This window comes from Homo sapiens, chromosome 7 (assembly GCF_000001405.40).
Source record: "Homo sapiens chromosome 7, GRCh38.p14 Primary Assembly".
Lineage (NCBI taxonomy): Eukaryota > Metazoa > Chordata > Mammalia > Primates > Hominidae > Homo > Homo sapiens.
In genome coordinates, this window is record NC_000007.14 from 134,072,360 (window position 1) to 134,098,470 (window position 26,111).

General features: G+C 41.0%; 1 protein-coding gene and 1 long non-coding RNA gene across 8 annotated transcripts in view; one reads left to right on the forward strand and one right to left on the reverse strand.

The window, feature by feature from the left end:
• The window catches only part of EXOC4 (exocyst complex component 4), an 847,874-nt gene that overhangs the window by 819,282 nt on the left and 2,481 nt on the right, over nt 1-26,111 (forward strand). Inside the window, exons 23-27 of one of the 5 annotated variants that reach the window (XR_007060126.1) lie at nt 1,999-2,054; nt 2,153-2,328; nt 2,953-3,133; nt 3,454-3,578; nt 25,793-25,887. The gene's annotated coding sequence lies outside the window, so the exon portion shown is untranslated. Of the gene's footprint in view, nt 1-1,995; nt 2,055-2,152; nt 2,329-2,952; nt 3,134-3,453; nt 3,835-25,792; nt 25,888-26,111 lie in introns of those variants that run through there. The other 4 variants (XR_007060125.1, XR_007060123.1, XR_007060128.1 and 1 more) reach the window with 4 other exon arrangements.
• On the reverse strand, nt 68-26,111 carry LOC105375514 (uncharacterized). 3 transcript variants are annotated; one of them, XR_001744986.2, is made up of 5 exons: nt 25,741-25,830; nt 11,184-11,327; nt 4,679-4,771; nt 3,436-3,560; nt 68-153 (listed from the first exon to the last, which is right to left on the reverse strand). It is a non-coding gene; the product is annotated as an uncharacterized LOC105375514 (long non-coding RNA). The 3 variants fall into 3 exon arrangements; XR_007060532.1 differs by lacking the exon at nt 25,741-25,830 and adding an exon at nt 11,447-11,517; XR_007060531.1 differs by having other exon boundaries at nt 4,679-26,111.

Sequence of the window (26,111 nt, forward strand, 5' to 3'; positions counted from 1 at the left end):
CCTGGGTGGGGTTTTGCTGCTGTTTGTGGTGGTGGTGGTGATGGTGTTTTCGAGGCAGGGTCTCGCTGTATCGCCCAGCCTGGTCTCTCACAGGAGGGTCTTAGGCCTGCTTCAGGGGAAGGTCAGAAAAGTCTTCCTAGGTTTTAGGACCTGCTGCAGAGGGGAAAGAAGAGGAATGGCCAGGGGAGGTCAGAGAAACCTTCCTGAACATGCTGTTTCTCAAATTCCTTCTGCTTAAACTGTTCGCTATGCTAAGGTGCCAGATTTGGGAGTAGCGTGTCCTGAAGACCATCAACTTTGCAGGTGGTTTGATGTGGTTACAAGTGCTTAAAAATGCCCTCTGTTGCCTCATCTTTGAAATGGGATAACAGTGATACTAATAGCTCCTGTCCAACAGAGGCATTCAGTGCCTGGCATGTCATTAGTATTATATATACATAACAAATAATATCCTGTCTGTTTCTTTGAGGAGTTTCAGACACACTATCAAGAAAGCCTGCTGTGTTGAAGTGTAAGAGTGCAGCCCCGCTTACAGCGCTTCTTGGTTAGAAAGGCCCAGGCTAGGCTGGGCATGGTAGCTCATGCCTGTAATCCTGGCACTTTGGGAGGCCGAGGCAGGTGGATCACTTGAGGTCAGGAGTTTGAGACCAGCCTGGCCAACATGGTGAAACCCCATGTCTACTAAAAATACAAAAAGTTAGCCGGGCATAGTGGCGGGTGCTTATAATCCCAGCTACTCAGGAGGCTGAGACAGGAGAATCGCTTGAACCTGGGAGATGGAGGTTGCAGTGAGCCAAGACCATGCCATTGCACTCCAGCCTGGGCAACAGAGAGAGACTTCCTCTCAAAAAAAAAAAAAAAAAAAAAAAAAAACAACAAAGAAAGGCCCCAGGCTATGGCAGGGTGGACCCAAGACTGTTACTTGCTGTATGTGGACACCTAAAGGCCCCCAGAACCATCCATCCTCATCATAGAAACTGGACGTTCTGATCTTACACGATTGTTTCAGCCCCCTCCCCACACATGCCGACTGCCCTCAGTGTCTGCTTCCTTAAGCCTGCTTCCATTTTAGCTATTAGCGAGGGTTTTGCATCTCGTTGCCTGCCAGCATATTATGTGCATCTCATTAACTCTGAAGGCTCCACTACCCTTTAGGGACCAGACCTTCACAGACGTAATGGCCTTCTGCCTGAGGTTTGAGTTTGCTGTTACTCTTTCTACCTTGGCTGAGGAATGTCAGCCCATGGATTTCTAATAAGTTCACAAATTGCTCTATGAAATTGAGGTGAGAAAAATGTCACATTCTTTTTTTTTTTAATTTTTAAAAATCAAATCTGGCTTGGAGCCCCCACTTAACCATTCTCAGCAGAAGTCCGACTCCAGTCATTGTGATTTACTCACAGGCAGGGGATGGGGGTTTTGGTGAGAGGCTTCCCCTCCTTCAGGTTGCACCAACACCCTGCTGCTGAAGCAGGTCAGGAGAGCGGGGTGAGCACTACGTCATCAGGGCATCCTGATCACTCTTTCCCCGGGCTCCTTCTGCGACACAGTGAAGACTCTAAACACTGTCTGGTGCTGTCGTCAGGCCCTGCCCTCCACAGGCAGAGTCTTTTCTAGTGTGCCCAGGCTTTGTTCCGGGGACCTCCAGGCCTCAGTGTCCATCCACCACAGGCATCCCTCACAGTTGCCTGACACGAGGTCCTGCCCTCTGTGGGCACTGTGAGCTGGATGTCGTGGAGCTACCGTGCATGCTACAGCCCTTGTCTCTTCTCAGCTTTGGGGGACCCAACACTCCAGGTTGGGCAGTTCTCTCCTCTTTCCTCCTGACCCCAGAGTCTCTTTCCTTTCTGCCACTGGGAGAGCAAACCCTCCTTCCCTGGGCCTAGACCTTTCAAAACAATAGGCTGCTGGAGGGATTATCTGAGTGAAGATAAGTTTTCTCTCTCTCCTCCCCTCCCTTCTTCTCCCCTTTCTTTTCTTTTGCCCTGAAACAAGAAGCTTGTTAACCAGACTTCTGAGGATAAAGAGAGCCTGGACTCAAGAGCAATCCCCAGGTAACCCTATAGGGTGGCAGTGGGAATCTTTTATCCTAATTTTGGGTGGGGGGTTGGCATCAATTACTTTCTCAATAACACCTGTTGTGGATTCATAGAAATGGATAGAACCTGAGAGAGCTTCCGTCCCAACCATCTCATTTTTCAAAGGAGCCAGAGGAGCAAAGGGAGGAGGCCCAAGAGGAGAGTGGGGATGCCTAGTTCATGTCTGAGCCAGGACCAGCATCCAGGTCTCGACTGCCACTCCCAGGATCCTGCATTTGGGAGCCCCCAGGTGAATCATGCTGTTAGACTGCCAAGTGGAGGGATAGAGGCAAGGTCCTGCCTTCAAAGACATGAATGTCGCATGGAAAGAACAGGGCAACACACACGAATCCACTATGGAGTATCGTAAGCCAGTGTACCACTGAAGGCTCACGGAGCATTTCTGAGGAACTCAGTAAAACGAATAATGATTGTAGACTATCGTTAGTCAAATACAACTTAACTGGGAAAATGGAACTGGACCATGGTCTTGAAAAACAAGTGGAGCTAGAGAATCAATGTGAGGGCTGAGATGAAGGTATGCAGTTTGTCAACCTCCACAGTATAAAAAAAAAGTAAGCAAAGAAAGTGAAGCAAAAGAAAACTCAGGAGTATGAGGAGGATCAGCACAGTGCAGTCATGAAAACTAGCCAAGGCAAACCTGCCTAGCAGGAGGCCTGGCACATTTTGGATGTTCTTGACTTCTTTTTTCTTACCTTGCTGGCAGTCAGCAGATACATGGGATCTTTGAACCCTCTAGAATTACATGCATACAGCATGGGTGATTTGGGGTGATGGTGTATAAGTGCATTATATGAAATCAGGTCTGAGGTTTTCATTAGGTTCTCAATATATCTTGCTCTCCCTCTTCCAGGAATATAGTAGGATTGCATTTCTGAGCCTGTATTAGTCCGTTTTTACACAGCTGATAAAGACATACCCAAGACTGAGTAGTTTATAAGGAAAAAGGGGTTTAATGGACTCACAGTTCCGCATGGCTTGGGAGACCTCACAATCATGGTGGAAGGCAAAAGGCTTGTCTTAGATGGCAGCAGGTAAGACAGAATGAGAGCCAAGTGAAAGGGGAAACCCCTTATAAAACCATCAGATCTCATGAGACTTATTCACTACCGCAGAACATTGTGGGGGAAACTGCCCCCATGATTCAGTCATCTCCTACTGGGTCCCTCCCACCACACGTGGGGATTATGGGGGCTACAACTCAAGATGAGATTTGGGTGGGGACACAGCCAAACCATATCAGGGCTCTTCTGTGTTTGGGTGGTACCATGGGATTAGGTGGCCAATAAGTTATGAGTAGAAGGGTGTCACTTCCCAACCAAAGCCATTTAATTACCTGTGTGAAACCCTCCAGAGCTCAGTGCCCCCTCTGTCACAATGGCCAGCAATGTTCCAGATAGTGACCACTCACTCAGCTAGGGTTCCAGAGGGAGGAAGATGCAGAGCAGAGCCCCAGCTGACCTGCAGTGGACATATGAGGTAAGTAAGAAATACATCTTTGTTGTTTAAAGCCATTGACATTTTGAGATTGTTTGTTACTGCAGCCTAACCCTCCCTATCCTGACTGATACACACAACGAAGAGGCTGATCACAGTGAGGAGAGCAGAAAGAGCAAGGGAATTTCAATGAGGGATGAAATTTTGACTTTAAAGAGAACTAGTTGAGTGGAGGATTGAGAATAAGAGCCAAATTTAGAGGCTGAAGGATGAGAAAAGATAGTGATTTCCCAACAAGTCCTCAGTCAGTACATGTCTGTCCTAAAGACAGAAGCAACAAGGCTGGGCGCAGTGGCTCACACCTGTAATCCCAGCACTTTGGGAGGCCGAGGCAGGTGGATGACGAGGTCAGGAGATCAAGACCATCCTGGCTAACACGGTGAAACCCCGTCTCTACTAAAAATACAGAAAAATTAGCTGGGCGTGGTGGCAGGCACCTGTAGTCCCAGCTACTCGGGACGCTGAGGCAGGAGAATGGTGTGAACCTAGGAGGCGGAGCTTGCAGTGAGCCGAGATCACGCCACTTCACTCCAGCCTGGGGAACAGAGCGAGACTCTGTCTCAAAAAAAAAGACAGAAGCAACAAGTATGTGTTGTTCACTCAAGGAGTGTATTAGCCAGGGTTTTCCAGAGAAATAGAACCAATAGCATATATATATATCTCTCTTTAACATATATGTACATATCCAACATATAAACAAAAAATATATAAATATATATCTAACATAGAAAAAACTATCATCTATAATTGTATATATATATATATATGTATATCTCAATAAATGAACAACAAATATTCTTCACTTTTTTGTGCTAACCTTGTTAGAACTCAGCAGATACATGGAATCTTTGCACCCCTAGAATTACATATACAGATGATCAATGACTTACAATGGTTGGACGTAAAATTTTTTGGCTTTACAATGGTTCAAAAGCAATATTCATTCAGTAACACTCCATAACTTACATCCTGATAAACCCATCATAAGTTGAGGATCTGCATATGTGTGTGTGTGTGTATAATAGAGAGAACAGAGCAAGAGAGAGAGAGATGAGGAGACAGAATTATGGGAGTTGGCTCACATGATTATGGAGACTGAGAAGTTCCCTAATCTGCCATCTGCAAGCTGAAGAATCAGGAAAGCTGGTGATGTAATTCAGCCCAGGTCTGGAGGCCTGAAAACGAGTAGAGCCAGTGGTGTAACTTTCAGTGGGGGAGTTGAAGGTGGGGGACTGGTCTAAGTCTCAGAGTACAAAGGCTCAAGAACCAAGAGCTCCAATGTTTACAGACAGAACAATATGGATGTCCCAACTCAAAGAAAGAAGGAAAGACTTGTCCTTCCTCCACCTTTTTATTCTATCAGGGCCTTCAACAAATTGGATGATGCTTACCCACATTGGTGAGGACAGATCTTTACACAGCCTACTGCTTCAAATGCTAAGCCCTTCCAGAAACACCCTCACAGACAAACCCAGAAATAATGTCTTACCAGCTATCTGGGCATCCCTTAGCTCAGTCAAGTTGACATATAAAACTAACCACTGTTGCGGGATTCAGGAGGACGAGAGAGACCTCAGGTTGAAACAGGAGAATCTTTATTGAGTGCGCTCAGGCCCAGCTGACTCACCTCCAAAAAATTGGGCCCAGAACAAAGACCGCACCTGAATTTTATACACACTTCACAAAAGGGGGTGGGCTAGCTTAAAGCAAGCTTACAGGGGCATGAAAGCAGGGATACAGAGGGAGGACAAAGACAGGATTGCACATGACTGTTGCCAAGCAACCCAGATGTCTGTTATCTAGGTTTGTCTGAGCACAGGCTTATCCTGTAACCTTCACTATGGTGCCCAGGCAGCTGTAGTTCAGGCCTACTCAGGCTCCTCATGACCTTCATTGTACTTCTTAGATAAAACAGAATACTTGAAGTCACTAGTTACAGAGAATAGGAATCTATAAACTCATTCCATAAAACAAAGGAAAATTTGTTTTTCTTCTCCTTATGTTGAGGGAGTGCTGGGAGAGTCTCCAGAGCACATTAGATAATATTATCAAGACTTTTCCTGGATCTGGCTGTGCCTGTTGCTGCCTCTGGGACAAGTCAGCCTAATACAGGAAAACTTATTTTGCTTTCTTTTTAATTTGATTTTTCTTTAATTTCCTGCATCAACCATCACAGTGAGCAATCCTGGATCCCCCCAGTTTATTTATGTCTTTTGCTTTACCCCCCTTTTTCATTTATTTGAACTCCTGTAGTATTAGTGAGCTCAGATACATAGGTCTTAATTCAGTGTCTCTGAGTACTCACAGGAAAGCTTCTATGTAAATCCAACACATAAACAGAAAAAAAACTATAATAGTTAACTATATATAATATTATATCTATAATATTATAGAGATTATAAATCTGCTGTCTATAATAATTAACTGTTATTAAAGCTTAAAACCCCCTACAAGTTGCCACACATCCCTGCTCCAAAATCCTGATGTCTAATTATCTCACTGGACCAGCCCCTTTTTCCTTAGGAACTTTCTATTTCAGTACCATTTATTACCCATCCTCAGCAGTAAGTGTTTACCCTCTAACAACGTAGGCCCAATCACCAAAACATGAAAAAGATTGGGGAAAAGAATATATTTTTCTACCCTCCTCCCCAACAGCTTAGAGTTCCTTGTATTTCTCTGATGTCCCAGTGGATGTAAATGTTAATGGTTTTGAATGAGATTTGAAGTTGCAATCTTAAAATGAGGAAACATAACACTTAAATGCTGTTAATTCAGCTAGCTTTAAGAGACTAATAAAGCACAAGGTACTAGGCCTCTTGGCAGTTAAAGAGCAATTCACTCATCTATGATAACAGCAAACATTAAATTATTTTCATAGGGGATATAGAACTTCTTGCATCTTGCAGTTGTATTAACTGTCATCATTTTCTTAGATTTTCATTTCCATGTTTTCTGGATGCCCCTGAGATGCTTACACACTGTTCCAGACCTACAGAGTTCAGAAGGGAAGTAAGAGTAGCTACATCATTCGCCCCACATCCCACCCTCCATCGAGGACTGATCTAGGGCAATTTGACATTCCTGCTGTCCAAATTCCTTTAGTAAACATCAGTAGCCTTCTGCCATAAGCAGAGATGGAAGCAATGTGACTCCTCCCCTCAACTTTGCTAGCAGGAAGTGTGCTACAAAGTAAGCAGTCCACAGACAACATTCATTAGCAAGAGAACGTAAACATCCTCTTCCAACCTGCTCAGGAAGCACTCTCTGTCCCTTTTCTCTGTCCAGCACCTTATTGGAAAGTTTCCTCTGAGGCAAGCACAACTATGTTCTGTCAGCAGGATCAGACCCACCTTCTAGTTTGATCTAGAGACAGAGTTCTGCATGCATTCTGGGTGCTTGAGGACCCAGAGTGCTGTTTCATAGCTGTCAAATACTAGGTTTACTTATTTTTTTTTAAGTCATTTGCAAAAAGTTGCTAAAGCCCATAAAGTCTTACCAGCCCACCACATGTCTTGAACAATTTCAGCATTCATTTCTTACCCCTTTTATGCTGATTAACCATCCCTCCAGTACTATTCCTGTTTAGATGGCAGCCCTTGAAAGGTTTGCCACAGCCACCTCTGGAGAGTGTGTTCTGGAAGGAGGTGCCTGAGTCTGGTCTTTAAGGATGTCATTTCTCAGGGAGCTGCCCGGTTGGGCTATCCTGTCCCTCATTAATAAATGCCCTGCCCTTCAGATGCAGTGTCAGTTCCTCTGGTCCTCCACAATAGGACATCTACTAACCATCACTTTCCTAGTTGTGGGCATGAGTTTGCACTGAGCCATCCACATGTACTTGGAAACTTCAATGCAAATTTGCAAGGCAGGACCCAGGTGCAGTCCCAGCCTGCCTCAGAGCACAAGGATGCTAAGCACATTCACCAGAAACACCCTCTTGCCCGCAAAACCTAACCCCGGATGCTAGTCCAAACAGGCTCCCTCTCCAAGGATACAGAGCCTTGGACTCTGATCACGCCAAGATCTAGAGTCCATCCAGCTTATGCTATTAATAGCTGGGGCCATGCTACCAGCCCATAGCTTATTAATAATGTATAGCTGCAGCCCCTGACTTAGTTCAGCTATAAACATTCCTCATCTGCATGATTAGCTCTTAACTTACTGATTAGAAAGTTTCATCCTGCCACAAAACCTACCCTTTCTGAATGAATGGCTCTTTTAAAGGCAGCCAAGTTCTCTAAAATGTATCTCAAACCCAAATAAAAAATAGTCTACAACAAAAACAAAATTCTACTATTTTCTTGATGGAATGAGAAAAAAAGGAGCTTAAGAAGGTTTTTAAAAGTTCAGCTCCATGCTTACTGAAGGGACTAAAAGTAGTTGTGAGTACAACTGGGGACTTGGGGAGATAAGGTTGGAGAATAATTCAGTGGCGAGTAGGAGATATTAATAAGTTTGTTGTTGTTGTTGTTGTTGTTTTTACCTTGAGGGATCTGGTGTAACCACTAAGGAGTTTTAAGCAAGTAAGTAGTATTGGGTTTTGACTTTACAAATATCACCCTGGAAGATGGATAATGGATTGGAAGGCAGATGGCAGGAAGACTAGTCAGTGATCAAGGAGAATGACGGTAGTGGCTTCAACTAGGGTGGTAGTAATACGGATGGAGGGAGGTGGACAGATTCAGGAAATACTTAAAAGAACAATGGCCAGGTGCAGTGTCTCATGCCCATAATCCCATTCTTTTGGGAGGCCGAGACAGGGTTGCTTGAGCCCAGGAGTTCAAGACCAGCCCAGGCAACATAGCAAGACCCTATCTTAAAAATATATATATATATAAAAATTAGCCAGGCATGGTAGTACCCACCTGTAGTCTCAGCTACTTGGGAAGCTGAGGCAGAAGGACTGCTTGAGCCCAGAAGTTCGGGGTTGAATTGAGCTATGATCGTGCTACTGCAGAGGGCAACAGAAATGAGACCCTGTCTCTAAAAAAATTGTAAACACATAAATAAAAGCATGATTGCTCCCTCACCTCCTTTAGGTCTCTGCTTTAATTTTTCCTTCTAAATGATTCCTTTCTTGACCACCTATTTAAAACAGCAACCCTGGCCAGGCATGGTGGCTCATGCCTGTAATCCTAGCACTTTGGGAGGCTGAGGCAGGTGAATCACCTGAGCTCAGGGGTTTGAGAGCAGCCTGGCCAACGTGGCACAACCCCATCTCTACTAAAAATACAAAAATTAGCTGGGTTTATTGGCACATGCCTGTAATCCCAGCTACTCAGGAGGCTGAGGCGGGAGAATCACTTGAGCCCAGGGGGTGGAAGTTGCCGTGAGCTGAGATTGCGCCACTGCACTCCAGCCTGGGTGACAGGTGACAGAGCAAGACTCCGCCTCAAAAAATTAAATAAATAAATAAATAAAACAGCAGCCCCTTCCCCACAGCCTATACTTTCTCTGCTTAATTTTTCTCCATAGTTTTTATTGCCATTTGACATTCTGTATAACTCAATCATTAATTTGATTATTGTTTGTCTTCCCCAACTAAAGTATACACTCTTTGAGGGCAGAGGTTTTTATATCTTTTGTTCTCTGTAGCCCCGATACTTAGAACAATCCCTGGCACATAATAGATGGTCAATAAATATTTTTAGAATGAATGAATAGGTGAAAGATGACAGAATTGACAGGACGTGATCATTGGTTGAATGGGAGGGCGTAAGAGGAAGTGGTAAAGCAGCAAAGGTAGGTTCCCAGGTTTCTAGCTAGGTTAACTGAGGGGATGACCTGCTATTCAGTGAGATAAGGAACACAAGGCAGGATGGGGAGAAGCAGGTTTGGAGGTGAAGGGTTGGAGGTGAAGGAGGTGATGATAAACTTGAGGCACTTGTGGGCTGTGTACAGAAAAATGTAGAGGCGACAGGACTTTGAGCTGAAAGAATAGATTGTGCAACCTTTAGAGTCCTTATACATTCAAAAAATATTTGTTGTGAACCCTCTTTGTTCCAGACCCTACACCAAGCATGTTCAATACACAGATGAGTAAACTGAGGTTGTTACCAGAAAGTGGTCCTGATCCAGACCCCAAGAGAGGGTTCTTGGATCTCACACAAGAAAGAATTCAGGGGAGTCCATAAAGTAAAGTGAAAGCAAGTTTATTAGGAAAGTAAAGGAATAAAATAATGGCTACTCCATAGGCAGAGCAGCCCTGAGGGCTGCTGGTTGCCCATTTTTTTTTTGGTTATTTCTTGATTATATGCTAAACAACGGGTAGATTATTCATGAGTTTTCTTGGAAAGGATGGGCAATTCTGAGAACTGAGGGTTACTCCCCTTTTTATATAGGGTAACTTCCTGGTGTTGGCATGGCATTTGTAAACTGTCATGGCACTGATAGGAGTGTAGCAGTGAGGATGACCTGAGGTCACTCACATGGCCATCTTGGTTTTCGTTGGTTTTAGCCAGCTTCTTTACTGCAACCTAGTTTTTATAGTTGTTGTTGTTGTTGGATACTGAGTCTTGCTCTGTCGCCAGGCTGGAGTGCAGTGGCATGATCTCTGCTCACTGCAACCTCCACCTCCCAGGTTCAAGCAATTCTCCTGCCTCAGCCTCCAGAGTAGCTGGGACTACAGGCACATGCCACCACACCCACCTAATTTTTGTATTTTTAGTAGAGACGGGGTTTCACCATGTTGGCCAGGATGGTCTCAATATTCTGACCTCATGATCCACCTGCCTTGGCCTCCCAAAATGCTGGGATTACAGGCATGACCCACCGTACCCGGCCTACTACAACCTGTTTTATCAGCAAGCTCTTTATGACTTGTATCTTGTGCTGACCTCCTGTCTCATCCTGTGACTTAGAATGCCTTAACCATCTGGGAATGCAGCCCAGTAGGTCTCAGCCTCATTTTATCCAGCTCCTATTCAAGATGGAGTTGCTCTGGTAAAGGCCTCTGACAAGGTCATGCAAATGGATGACATTACATATAAAATCACAGTTGCCACACAGTTGATAACAGCCAGTGTTACTGAGGGGACAGGGAGTAAGCACTCTCATAGACTTTGGAAGGAACTGGAAAAGGGTGGAATCTTTCTGGAATACAATTTGACAGTATGTATCAAAAAGTTTAGAAATTTACATATCCGTGACTCAGTAATTTCCCTTCTAGATACATATTTGCTGGTCATAAGCACAAGATTTGCTATTCACCAAGAGGACAAGGGAGGTTCCTACCTGGGTATGATCAGCTTGTGTACTAAGCAGGCACCTAGGAGCCCCATCAAGTGATGCACCAGCAGGACACCCTAAGAGGGGTTATATGGGCCCCATCTAGATGCAGCTGCAGAAAAGTCAGGGTCTACCTCTAGTCCCTTGCTCATGTCTAAGGCAGACTCTCACAGAAGGGCAACTGGCTCCCTGTTCTGGTTATTTGTCTCTGCATAACAAACTAATCCAAGACTTAGTAGCTTAAAACAGTTATTCTATCTCATGATACCATGGGTCAGGAATTTGAGGGGCGATCAGCTGGGTGATTCTTCTGTTCCATATGGCACCAACTAGAGTCACCTGATGGTACTAAGCTGCTACCTGGGCCAGTCTGGAACATCCAAGATGGCTTCAGTCACAAGCCTGACACCTTGGTGGGAACAGCTCTCAGGCTGTAGTCTCAGAGCCCCTCCATGTGATCTCTTCAGCAGGGTAGTCGGACTTCTTAAATGGTGACTCAGGGCTCTAAAAAAAACCAAAGCAGATGTGACCAGTCCTTTTAAATTGTAGTCCTAAAACTAGCATAGCATCACTTTGACCATGCTCTAAAGGTCAAAATGTAATAGGCCAGTCATAGATCCTACCTCTCAACAGGAGGAATATCAATGAATTTGCAGTCATCTGTAATCTGCCACACTCTCTGGTTCAGGATTTTCAAGGGGGCAAGGTCTGATGCATACATCCAAGTTGTTCTCCTTCTGCTCCTCTACTGTGTGGGCCAATTTTTCTCTAGAAGTGTCTTGCAAAGTCAAAATCTCTCCACTTCTTTCTTTATAGGAAGTGAGGCTTATTATAGCAAACAGAAAGGATCCCTTATGCTATCACTCTAATACCAAGGCTGTCTGGCTCCAGTGAGATGCTAAGCTGGCTCTCCTGAGAAGGCCGTTTGCTGTGAAAGAGATGTAATCAGCCTGGAAACATGACTCATCCAAGGGTGTGGAGTTTCTACTGATCAGTTATCACACTGGTCACCAGCAATAACTGGCCATTCTGAAGGCAGTTGCTTCTAAGCCAGACTTGCAGACCTTAGTTATAATTCCTGAATATTCTCGTGAAAGTCATTGAGACTTCCTTATTTTTCAATAGTGAAGAGATATAGCTCTTGCCAGTGTTACAGACAGTTTAAAATCTCTTAGGGCATCATGAACTACACAAAAAGTGCCTGAGGAGTGGCCAAAAGTGAGAAGATAGCTACCAATTGGTGGGGCACCATCAAGGCAAGGAGAAGAGTGACTAGTGGCACTGAGAAACCTCGCTGAGAAAGCTGATCAGAGAGAAGGTCCCAAGAGGCTGGAAGATCCTCTCATCTCAGGCTGACATTGGGACTCCCCTTGGATTATCTTTGTATCAGGAGGGCCTCAGAAGGTTTCTCTGAATGTAGATGCCTTTCTACCTTGCAAGGCCTGGCAGGTGGTTACAAAGGGCACAGGCTTTCCAAGTGCTCAAAGAGAGGACAAAAACTTCTGGAAAAGCATTTGGTGCAGCCGTAAAAAAAAAAAAAAAAAAAAATTCACCAAAAGGACAGCCTCCCCACCCCCTTAATTCCATTGCTAAGCCTCTGTTAAAAGAAAAACTTCAGCCAAATTAAATTTAAAGGGTTTAATTGAGCAATGAATGATTCACAAGCTGGGCAGCCTTCAGAATCACAGCAGATTCAGAGAGACTACAGTGATGCCTAGTGGTCAGAACAAATTTATAGACAAAAAAGGGAAGTGACATACAGAAATCGGAAGTAAGGCATAAAAACAGCTGGGTTGGTTACAGCTGGGCGTTTGCCTTTTTTGAACACAGTTTGAACACTCAGCTGTATATGAGTGGTTGAAGTATGACTGCTGGGATTGGCCAAGACTCAGCTATTGTTACAGGTGCATACTCCTAAATTAGGTTTTTAATCTTGTCCACCTATCAAGTTAGGTTGCAGTTCATCCACAAGGACTCAAATATTGAAGTACAGACTCCTTCTCAGGCCATGTTTAGTTCACTTTAATACATCATAACTGGTAATTGCAGCTCTAGGTCAGGTTGAGAGGTTGGAGACTTCCAGAATGGTGAAGTAATAACCTTCCAAAAATCCACTCTTAAGAATACGTGGCCAAAAAAACAAAAACAACAAAAAAAAAAAAACCAACTTTTTTTAAACTCTGGAAATTAACCAAAGGCTTGCAAAAAATCCAAGGAGGATTTATGCAAGAAAAACTGCTGAATCTTGGTAAGAATAGCAAAATGTTGTAACATTTTAACTTGCACTATTCCTGTACTCCTCACTCCCACTCTGCAGAAATCTTGAAAACAGCAGCTCTGCAATTATGGAAGCTGTGCAAATGAGCAGCCTTACAGCCACTGGAGGTATAACCTGGATTTAGAGCTCCCCCAAAAGCACATCTCCTTAGAATTGTCACATTTTACCTGTCTTTCAGCTCCCTGGGAAAGCTCCATTCACAGGATGTTGTTGTCATTATTTGATCTGATTCACAGCTCATTGCTTGGGATCTGGGGTGTAAAACTTATCCCTAGGGTGTTTGTCAAAAACAACCAATAGCAATGATTTAACATGTGGCTGCCTGAGGCTGCAATACCAGTTGGGGCAAATGGGAGCCTGGCAAAATATTTAAAAGGAAGATCTTGGGAATGGGTTATTCACAGGGGGCTTTGAAAAAGCTCCAACATATCACAAGGGATCTGGAAGGCCATACACATGGCAGAGCTGTGTGTGCTCAGGAAAGACCTAAGTGGAACCTAACTTCTCACCTCTGGCTGACCTTGCAACCAGGAAGTCGTACTGGAGCATTGAAAGTGTGCCCCAACACACAGCTAACAGTACCCCTTGGCTAAGGCTAGAGACTTATTAGTTCCAAGAACTTAAGAAAATCTCTGTTCAGTCATTAGCTGACCACTAAGTTAACTGAGTAGGACTTCAGTCATAAAAGGAAATACTTATTTACAGAATTTGTCGAGGAAAGTTACTAAACAAACAGTAAAAACAACAAAACAGCAATAACAAACCCTGGATACACAGGGAACAGGTTGAGCATCCATAATATAAAAATCTAAACTTGAAATGTTCCAAAATTTGAAAGTTGAGCACTGACATGATGCCATGAGTGGAAAATTCCACAGTTGACCTCATGTGACAGGTCTCAATCAGAACTTTGTTTCATGCACAAAATTATTCGAAGTATTGTAAACAATTCCTTTCAGGCTCTGTGCATAAAGTATGTAGGGGAGCAAACATAATTTCTTTTCCTTTCTTTTTTAAGTTCTTAATTGAGACACCCTCCTGAAAACAAAAGTAAGATTAACAGAAGAAAAACAAGTAGAAGTTTAGTAATGCATGCTGTACCCATCACAGGGAAAGGCCTCAGTTCAAAAATATTTCCCTCTCAAGGCAGTGGTTCTGGGGCCTTGCTTAAATAGTATTGTTACAGGAGAAGGGTCCTGATCCAGACCCCAAGAGAGGGTTCTTGGGTCTTGGGCAAGAAAAAATTCAGGGTGAGTCCACAGTACAAAGCAAAAGCAAGTTTATTAAGAAAGTAGAGGAATAAAAGAATGGCTACTCCATAGACAGAGCAGCCACAGGGGCTGCTGGTTACCCATTTTTATGGTTATTTCTTGATGATATGCTAAACAAGGAGTAGATTATTCATGCCTCGCCTTTTTAGACCATATAGGGGAACTTCCTGTCATTGCCATGGCATTTGTAAACTGTCATGGTACTGGTGGGAGTGTAGCAGTGAGGACGACCAGAAGTCACTCTTCATGGCCATCTTGGTTTTGGTGGATTTTAGCCAGCTTCTTTACTGCAAACTGTTTTATCAGCAAGGACTTTATGACCTGTATCTTGTGCTGACCTCCTGTTTCATCCTGTGACTTAGAATGCCTTAACCATCTGGAAATGCAGCCCAGTAGGTCTCAGCCTCATTTTACTCCACCCTTATTCAAGATGGATTTGCTCTGGTTCAAATGCCTCTGACATTTCCCCCCTCCCTTTTAAAAGACAACCCTAACTTCAAGGTTTGCAGAGGGATGAAGATCTATCTTCTGTAACTACTTCAGGCAGAATAGGGGTGATGATGTTCCTGCCTAACTATTAGAGTCTCTTGTATTTGGGGTATAAAACAGCTCAGTCAGAAAGCATTGGTACGGTGAGGGACATTCATAACTTTTGAGTTCCAACAAAAGATGGTATCTGGAAGATTAATAAGTGTTCAATTTAAGAAAACATTGAGTAACCTCATCCTCTTTCCTACACAAAGAGTACAACAGCAATATATTACACAATAGTAAGGCAAAATACGTAAAATTATCCCAAGTAAGCTAAATTAGAAGGCTTTCCATGAACTGGGCAGCTGTTGGAAACAAGCTGATATGGGGTTGCTAGATGATTTCAATATGTGCCCAGAATATTGATCCAGATTTTTACATTACCCATGCCTCTTGTTTCTTCTGAGCAGCAGTCAGAGATCACTAGTTGGTTCACAGGGATAAGCAGGATTAGTCTTAATTACAGGAAATAAACTCATAAACAACTGATGAGACTAGAATTTAATAACAAGTGTACCATAGTTCTTGAAACATAATTTTTCTCTCTCCAGTTTCCCATTTTTATTAAGACAAATCATGGTAAGACTGATTTGTTTCATTTTACTTGGCCTGATTATTTGTATAAAGTGCAGCAAGAATAATTATTTTTCACATAAGCTCTCTTTAAATTGGCATTGATGTAACTCTGTTCCATAGAAGGAATCTTAGACAAGACTTTTTTAGAGCTGAGCCCTGCCATGGGTTTGTACCCTCAAATACCTATAAGTTGAATAAATTCCTCTCCTCTTGAGGTTCCAAGATAACTTAGCTCTCCTAGGCCTGATAGAAAGTGACATTCTTTACTTATGACATGTCAGGAACCCTTTGCAGGGACTGTGTAGACAAGGTACAAGGCCAGTTTTCCCAAGGGGCTTTTATTGGCTCTATAAGTCAAGTTTAATTCCTTAAAGGAAAACACACCATTCCACTCAAAGCCTTGGTAAAATAACCAGTTTTTCCAATTATGTCCTGTTACAAAAGAAAACAGATTCTTATTGCACTTATGCAAATAACTATATTGCCATAAATTAAGAATACTCACAAGTAGTTTCCAAATTCTGGAGAAACTAGGTAAACAAATATGCTCCAAATTGTGTTCATAGGAGTATACTTTACCTAATTGTTAAAAGCTGTAAATAGCTTAAAAGAATTGTTTTCTTGTCTTTGAAAAACAAAACAAAGAATCAGCAACATTTTAACCTAAAAGTTAAAAAGATCACTTTAGACTTCTACTAGTTTACTCCATGCAGTTAACTTCTCTCCTGTTTGATATTCATGAACATTTCAGTTCTCCATGAGAGTTCTGAAAGTTGTTTCGTCTATTCTAATGTCACAATTTCCAAAGTTATCAGAAAACTGCATTTAAGAACACCTGTTGGAGTTCTACAGCTGACTATAAACCACCTTTTGAAGAGGATTGAAACAAGAAAACAATTGTTTTTGCATGACAAAAGGTTTTAGGACAGCCACAGCCAAAAACATGATTGACAAATTTGGTTACCTCTGTGGCATACAGTGATTTTATGTAACAATTATAATTATTAATAACCTACAATAAGTTTTATTATATTTGTCAGTGCTTCTTGTATGACTTTACTATACCAAATAAGGCAAATTTTACCTTTGTGTTAGTGTACTATTACCATTAAACCCAATTCTTAATAAAACCTTATAAATAAATCTATCCAATCTTAAACCATTTGACCATAAGATAAGATTTTCATAAATCTTGTATAACCCTTTACAATTTTTTATTAAAGAGCAGATTATAAGCAGGTTTTTGCTTTAAGAAAAACCTGTTGTCCTTTTATTCCAATGTTCAATTTACAGAAAAACTGAGTAATACCCCTTTAACTTCAGCCAATATGTTCACACACAGAATCTCTTTCACAATTAATTTTTCACAAACCTTCCACAACTTGCTGAAATCTTCAGCTTTACCTTATCTAACTTAAAACAATCCTTTAACACTTTAGGCATAAAAAAATCCACATTCCTATGACTTCTTATAATCTTTTACCAAAAACACATTTCACTTTCTTTACACACCTTGCATGTAAAACTGTTTTTTAATAGTCTCAAATACATGTTACACTATTAACTCTTAGCAACTCTTACTTCTGGTGAAAAGCCTTGTTAGTAAGCCATTTTAATTATGTACTAGTGTGGAGCCTAGGACCCACAGAAGTGCAGATAAGTCCTGACTCTTTCCAACATCTAACTTCACGTGTCCCAAGCCTTACCTAGCTGTAAAGCAGGCAAGTTGTACGGTTAAGCATCATAGTGGTATTCTATGAAGCATTTAGGAGGCCTAATCACCTTTAAATTATACATTTCTTGCATAAATTCCCTGCTATGGGAATTGCGTGACCTACACAGACTATCTACGACATACTTTGACTTTGTGACTAGTCCTAAACATCCCTTTTTTTAAACAACCAATTATTTTACTTTAGGACAAGAATTTACCATATAAGATCCTTTCTTACATAAAGTCTCTTTTCTTTATAAACTTCTTTGCATAGCTATGGGGTATGGCTAATTCCACATGTCCCCAGGCCTTATCTAGAATCTAATGCTTCAAAGTAGGTAAACTGAACAATTTTTAAAAGTCAAAGAAGCAGTTTATGACCTTAAAGCATTTAGTAAACTTAATATCTGACCTGCATAATTTAGAAGAAATGTTTACATTTTGGAAGATATTTTGATTTTACCGATAATTTTAAAAACTGTCTCTATTTCCCAAAGATTACTAAAGTCACATAATGTAAAAGGCATTACACTTTCTACTTTTCTGACAACGTATTTGATTTAAGCACTTATTTTTAAGCCAATTAATCAAAGCTCTTTCATATATAACCACACACACAACACACATAAATACACTGACAGACAGAAGATAAAGGACTCATTCTCTAAGCCAGGAATTGGACCCTGAACCCAGGCCACCATTGTGAAAAGAGAAAGCACAGCCACATAGTTACAAGGTCAAGCTCCCAAGGACATACTTGGAAACCTCATCCAGTTTTTTTCAGGGACCTGCAGCAAAGTTTGTAACTGACCAGTTTGTTGGGCCATCTTGAAAAGCCCATGCTGTATCCTAAGGTACCCCTCTTTATGACAGAACAATACAGAAAAATGCACAAAGCACACCAGATTTGCTACAGCTTAACACTAGCCTCTCAAATCCTTTTTCCATTAATCAGAACTTTACAGAGGAGATAAAAAGTTATTTTTACCATTAATTCAACTGGTTAGCATAGAGAGAGACAGAGAGAAAGCATTTCCTGAGGCAGGGTGGGGAAGGCGAAGAGCTCAGCGAGACCAGAGAAAGATCCCCCTGTTGCTCTAACATTCAGGCAGCCACTTGTTGGTCATGAAGGGATCTTTTCCAGCAGTTTCATCAGCTCTTAGGTTTTCCCTTTTAGGGAAGAAGACACTCCCCATGTCCCATGATCCCGTACATGCCTGATCCTGTCACCCACAGCCGTCAGCAAAGAGTACAAGACAGATTAATCCAAAGAGAATAGCAGTTAGCATCCCATAGTGCCAAACCCATCCTTAGCCAGAAGGGACTTTACCGAGAGGGGCCTCTAACCCACTCTGTCTTAGGAGAGACTCTAACTCCTGTAAGTTGAGCCTCTAACCCAATCCCATTCTTTACCCAGGTATATGCACCCCACTTACCCAAAGTCAGCCAAAATTGGTGCAAGCAGATGATTTTCAGTTGAGATTAGGGGGTCTCTTCAGTATCATCCCTTTGTGGTTGCCAGAAAGATGTTACAGGAAAGCGGTCCTGATCCAGACCCCAAGAGAAGGTTCTTGGATCTTGGGCAAGAAAAAATTCAGGGAGAGTCCACAGTGCAAAGCAAAAGCAAGTTTGTTAAGAAAGTAGAGGAATAAAAGAATGGCTACTCCATAGACAGAGCAGCCACAAGGGCTGCTGGTTACCCATTTTTATGGTTATTTCTTGATGATATGCTAAACAAGGAGTGGATTATTCATGCCTCCCCTTTTTAGACCATATAGGGGAACTTCCTGTCATTGCCATGGCATTTGTAAACTGTCTTGGCACTGGTGAGAGTGTAGCAGTGAGAATGACCAAAGGTCACTCTTCATGGCCATCTTGGTTTTGGTAGGTTTTAGTCGGCTTCTTTACTGCAACCTGTTTTATCAACAAGGTCTTTATGACCTGTATCTTGTGCAGATCTCATATTTCATCTTGTGATTTAGAATGCCTTAATCGTCTGGGAATGCAGCCCAGTAGGTCTCAGCCTCATTTTACGCAGCCCTTATTCAAGATGGAGTTGCTCTGGTTCAATGCCTCTGGCAGTATTTTCACAAAGACCCATAAATCTTATATACTGACAAGACAAAGAAGGCTTCCAAAAGGCAGGAAAATGTGGAAAGTAAATTTATAAGCAGAGTAAAGTCTGCTCCAGATCTTCTAGTAGCACTGTTTCTGAGCTCTGTTTCTCAGTTGATAAGCAAGCATTATACAGGGGCCTATCTTTAGGTGGGAAAGGCAGAGAGCAGGGGCAGAGTGTACCCCTGTGTTTAAACCTTTTAAAAGACTTTAACTAAAATCCCCAGTACTTTATAGAGGAATATTTTTGTTTCCTTCAGCTGTATATGAAACATAAATGAATTTCATATTTAGACTTGGGTCCCATCCCCAATATATCTCTTTATATATATGCAAATATTCCAAAATCCAAAACAAATCCAAAATCTGAAACACCTTTGTTCTTAAGCATTTTGGATAAGGGATATGTGACTTTGTCTGATTTCCAGAGTTAACTACATTACATTATTTTAAATGTCCAGTTTTGAATTACTAGGTGTGGGGTTTCTTTTTGGGTTGATGAAAGTGTTCTGGAATTAGTGGTGATGCCTCCAGAACCTTCTGAATATACTAAAATCCATTGAATTATATGTACACTTTAAAAGGGTAAATATTATGTATGAGACATATTTCAATTAAAAAAATTTAAAGAAAAAAAGTCCAATTTTTAACAAAAAAACTTATGAGATGCACACAGAAACCAGAAAGTATGGGCCATCCACAGGAAAAGACAAGTCAATAGAAATTGAGGAAGTCCAGATACTGGACTTATTATACAGATAGTTTTAATCAGCCAATATGAATATTTTCAAAGAAAGGAACTCATGTCTAAAGAGTTAAAGGACAGCATAAGAATAATATCTACTCAGCAGAAACCTTATAAGCCAGAGGAGACTTGGGGCCTATTTTCAGCATTCTCAAAGAAAAGAAATTCCAACCAAGAATTTCATATCCCACCAAAGTAAGCTTCATGAGCAAAGGAGAAATAAAATCTTTTCCAGACAAGAAAGTGCTAAGGGAATTCGTTACCACTATACTAGCCTTACAAGAGATCGTGAAGGGAGTTATATACGTTGAAACCACCTGGCCAACATGGTGAAACCCCATCTCTACTAAAAATACAAAAATTAGCCAGGTGTGGTGGTACAAGCCTGTAATCCCAGCTACTTGAGAGGCTGAGGCAGGAGAATTGCTCGAACCCAGGAGGCAGACATTGCAGTGAGCCAAGATCACGCCATTTTACTCCAGCCTGGGCGACAGAGTGAGACTCCATCTCAAAAAAAAAAAAAAAAGGAAACCAAAGAATGATACCTACTGCCAGAAATACATACTTAAGTACATAGCCTACAGACCCTATGACTGTATGGAGCAAAAACACAATAGAAATTACAAAGCAAAAAGCTAACAACTTCACCATTGAATCAAAACCTCGCACGTAAATATTAACCTTGAATGTAAATGGTCTAAATGCCATTTACATTGGATTAAAAAAACAAGACCCTTCCTTCCATGTGCTGTGTTTAAGAGACCCATCTCACACATAATGGTGCCCAAAGGCTCAAAGTAAAGGGTTGGGGAAAGATCTGCCATGCAAAACAAAACAAAACAAAAAGCAGGGGTCACTCTTCTTATATCAGATAAAACAGAGTTAAAACCAACAACAGGAATAAAGGACAAAGAAGGGCATTACATAATGATAAATAATCCAATTCAACAAGAAGACTTAATTATTCTAAATATATATGCACCCAACATTGAAGCACCCAGATTATTAAAACAAGTACTTATAGATCTACAAAAAGATTTTAGACTGCCACACAATAACAGAGCGGGGCTTCAACAACCCACTAACAGCATTACACAGGTCATCGAGGAAGAAAACTAACAAAGAAATCCTGGACTTAAACTCAACACTTCACCAATTGGACCTATTAGATATATGCAGAATACTCCACTCATTAACCACAGAATATACATTTTTCTCATCTGTATATGGAACATCCTCCAAGATTGATCACATGCTCATTCATAAACCAAGTATCAATAAATTTTTAAAACTCGAAATTATACCAACCATACTCTCAGACTACAGTGGAATAAAAATAGAAATCAATACCAAGAAGATTCTTCAAAACCACATAATTACATGGAAATTAAACAACTTGCTCCTGAATGACTTTTGGGTAAACAACAAAATCAAGACAGAAATAAAATTATTTGAAATAACTGAAAACAGAGATGTGACATATCAAAATCTCTGGCATGCAGCAAAAGCAGTGTTAAGAGGAAAGTTTATAACACTAAATGTCTACCTCAAAAAGTTATAAAGATCTCAAATTAGCAATCTAACATCACACCCAGAGGAACTAGAAAAACAAGAGCAAATGAACCCCAGAGCTAGCAGAAGAAAATAAATAACTAAAATCAGAGCATAACTGAAAAATATTGAGTCCCAAAAATCCATACAAAGAATCAACAAAACCAAAAGTTGGTTATGTGAAAGGATGAACAAGATTAATAATCTGCTAGCTAGGTTAACGAAGAAAAGATCCAAATAAGCACAATCAGAAATGACAAAGATGACATTATAACTGATCCCCCAGAAATACAAAAGATCCTAAGAGACTATTATGAACACCTCTACATACACAGACTAGAAAATCTGAAGGAAATGCATAAATTCCTGGAAACACACAATCTCCTAAAACTGAATCAGGAAGAAATTGAAACACTGAACAGACCAATATCGAGTTCTGAAATTGAATCAGTAATTTAAAAACCTACAAACCAAAAAATATCCCAGACCGGGTGGATTCATAGGTGAATTCTACCAGACATACAAACAAGAGCTGGTACCAATTCTGCTGACACTATTTTAAAAAATCGAAGAGGAGAGACTCCTCCCTAACTCATTCTGTGAATCCAGCATCAGTATTGATAACAAAACCTGGCAAAGACACAACGAAAAAAGGAAAACTACAGGCCAAGATCCTTGATGAATATAGATGCAAAAATCCTCAAACGCCAATCATTAAATGCAAATCAACAAATGTGATTCACCACATAAGCAGAATTGAAAACAAAAACCATATGATCATCTCAATAAATACAGAAAAATATTTCAATAAAATCCAACATCGATTCATAATAAAAACCCCAACAAACTAGGCATCAAAGGAACATATCTATGACAAACTCGCAGCAAACATCATACTGAATGGGCAAAAGCTAAAACCATTTCTCTTGAGAAGTGGAACAAGGATGCCTACTCTCACTACTCCTATTCAACATAGTACTAGAAGTCCAAGCCACAGCAATCAAGCAAAAGAAAGAAATAAAAGGCATCCCAATAGGAAAAGTCAAACTATCTCTCTTTGTGGATGATAGGATTCTATACCTTGAAAACCCTAAAAACTCCACCGAAAGGCTCCTGGAACTAATACATGACTTCAGCAAAGTTTCAGGCTACAAAATCAATGTACAAAAATCAATTACATAATTTCTACACACCAACAATATTCAAGCTGAGAGCCAAATCAGAACACAATCCCATTTATAATAGCCACACCAAAAACAAAACACCAACATAAAAAATCCTAGGAATACGTATAACCAAGAAGATGAAAGATCTCTACAAGGAGAACTACAAAACACTGCAAAAAAGAAATCATAGATGGCACAAACAAATGGGAAAATATTCCATGCTCATGGATTAGAAGAATCAATGTTATTAAAATGGCCATACTTTCCAGAGCAATCTACAGATTCAATGTTATTCCTATCGAACTGCCAACTTCATTTTTCACAGAATTAGAAAAAACTATTCTAAAATTCATATGGAACCATAAAAGAGCCCAAGTAGCCAAAACAATCCTAAGCAAAAAGAACAAAGCCAGAAACATTACATTACCCAACTTCAAATTATACTATAAGGCTGCGGTCACAAAAACTACATAATACTGGCTCAAAAACAAACACATACACCAATGAAACAGAATAGAGAACCCAAAAATAAAGCTGCACACCTATGGCCGTCTAATCTTCTACAAAGTTGACAAAAATAAGCAATGGGGAAAAGACTTCCTATTCAATAAATCTTGCTGGGATAACTGGATAGCCATACGTAGAAAAATGAAATTGGACCCCTACATTTCACCTTATAAAAAATTAACTCAAGATGCATTAAAGTAAATGTAAGACCCCAAACTTTAAGAATCCTAGAAGAAAACCTAGGAAACACCATTTTGGACATGGGCTCTGGGAAATAATTTATGACTAAGTCTTCAAAAGCAATTCCAATAAAAAAAGTGACAAGTGTGACCTAATTAAAGAGTTTCTTCATAGCAAAAGAAACTATCAACAGAGTGAACAGACAACCCACAGAATGGGAGAAAATATTTGCAAACTATGCATCCAACAAAGGTCTAATTTTCAGAATCTATAAGGAACTTAATTGAACAAACAAAACACATTAGAAAGTGGGCAAAAGAACAGACACTTCCCAAAAGGAGGCATACAACAAATATATGAAAAAATGTTCAACATCACTAATCATCAGAGAGGTGCAAATCAAAAGCACAATGAGTTTTAATAAAAGGAAGAACTTTACATAGGAAGAGTAGCCCACAATGGAATAAGTCACATTTTAAAGTGGTGTGCTGCTTTTCACTTAAAGACTTCAGTCAAAGATAGAGGGCCATTTATCACAATGTTGAATGTGATTTTCTTCTCTACTGGGTAGAGGATTTTTTAGAAGACCTTTTGTATTAGTCAGCGTTCTTTAAAGGGACAGAACTAATGGGATATAGGTGTATATATGAAGGGGAGTTTATTAAGGAGTATTGACTCATATGATCACAAGGTGTAAGTCCCACAATAGGCCATCTGCAAGCTGAGGAGCAGGGAAGCCAGTCCATTCCAAAACCTCAGAAGTCAGGAAGCTGACAGTGCAGCCTTCAGTCTGTGGCCAAAGGCCCAAGAGCCCCTGACAAACCACTGGTTAAGTCCAAGAGTCCAAAAGCTGAAGAATTTAGAGTCTGATGTTCAAGGGCAGGAAGCATTCAGCAGGGGAGAAAGATGTAGGCTGGAAGACTCAGCAAATCAAGTGCTCCCACGTTCTTCTGCCTGCTTTATTCTAGCCTCGCTGGCAGCTGATCAGATGGTGCCCACCCAGATTGAGGGTGGGTCTGCCTCTCCCATTCACTGACTCAAATGTTAATCTCCTTTTGTAACACCCTCACAGACACAACCAGGAACAATACTTTGCATTCTTCAATCAAGTTGACACTCAATATTAACCATCACAACTCTGTTTTCAAGTTGACTTATAACTTGACATCTGCCACCACCACCATTTTTTTACAGAAAAAAATATGAAGTAGTATGGAATTATGATATATACACATTAAAAAGATACAAATTTTAAAAAATAGAGATCAGAAACCACATGGAAGACTTAGGAGAGTAGCAACAATTAAAATTAAAAATTTGAGCTCATGGAAGTTCAAAGAAGAAAATCCAACTCCCAATGATTGGAGATGTTGATTTAGTACATCTGGAGTGGAACCGGGTAATATATTCTTTTTTTAAGCCTCTTATCTAATTCTGGTTAGAGATCAACTGTCTCAGACTGTCTCTCCCAGCTCTTGGTCATCTCCTCCATGATTTTGTCAGGGGCTAAACATTACCCAATTTAAGGTAAGCTAAAGAGTATTCCTGTTACAGATAGAAAAAAAAAAAAGTTCATGGGTAGCAGTTCCCAGAAGGTGGGTATGAAAAGCCTAGCTCTCTCCCTAATGGAGAAAAGCAAATCTCACCATCCATTATTCACAGAGACTTTTTGTAGTTCCCTGAAGCAAGGCTGTTTTACCCTGCCCAACTTGGGAAGCATTCTCCTTGGTTCACGCTAATGGAAAATGGAGGAGAAAATGGTTTATAGACTATTCTTGCTGAGACAACCGTCTGGGTGACCCAAAACAAAAATCAACTAATCAATCCCAAGGCTTCCTACACATTGACTGGAAATCTACCCCCACAACTTGATGTGGGAGGGAAACACCCAAGTTCCCAGAAAATCCCATTTATCCATAAGACCCTTCTCCTCATTATTTCAGCCTCCCTAGGGATAGACACTAAGGTGTTACAGCTCTGGTCCATTGCATGAAGAGTTATCCAGGGCCTGGAAGATGTTCATGGTGGCATCAACTGACCACCTCAGTCATAAATGGTCCTGGAAATCCGACTTGGATCAGTACTGCCTTCTGATCAAAACTTAGATGATCAGTGATATCCAAGGTCCCTAATAACTACTGGATTCTCAGATTCCAGTGTGTGAGCATGAGACAATGAAGGCAAATGGGTAGGACCTGGCACACACACATCCCAAGCACTGTCACGAAAGGAGGATTCACACATATCAACATAAAGTCTGAGACCAAAGCAAAGAAATAGCACCTGATGTTCTTTTCAACCAAGATCCCTGCTTAATTCCAAACATATTCTTCAGGCTGGATGTCGGGCAGCTGAAGGGTGATCAGTCTTCTGCTGGAATTAAAGCCTGCTGTGATGTTAATGAAGAACCGCCAGTGGGTTTGCTGGAAGGTAATTTAGATCTACATAATTATGACTTAATCCCTCACCCGGTGACATCAGAAAGGTCCTTACCCAAGTGCAAGCTGCGTGATATCATGCCACAGAGAGTACAGCTGTGTTTCTCCTGTTCCTTTTTGTGAGTAGTGCTCACATCAGTCATGATAGCTTTATTAAATGGTGTAACCCAACCCAATTCTTGCACACACAGTGCTATTTCCTAATCAAAACTGCAA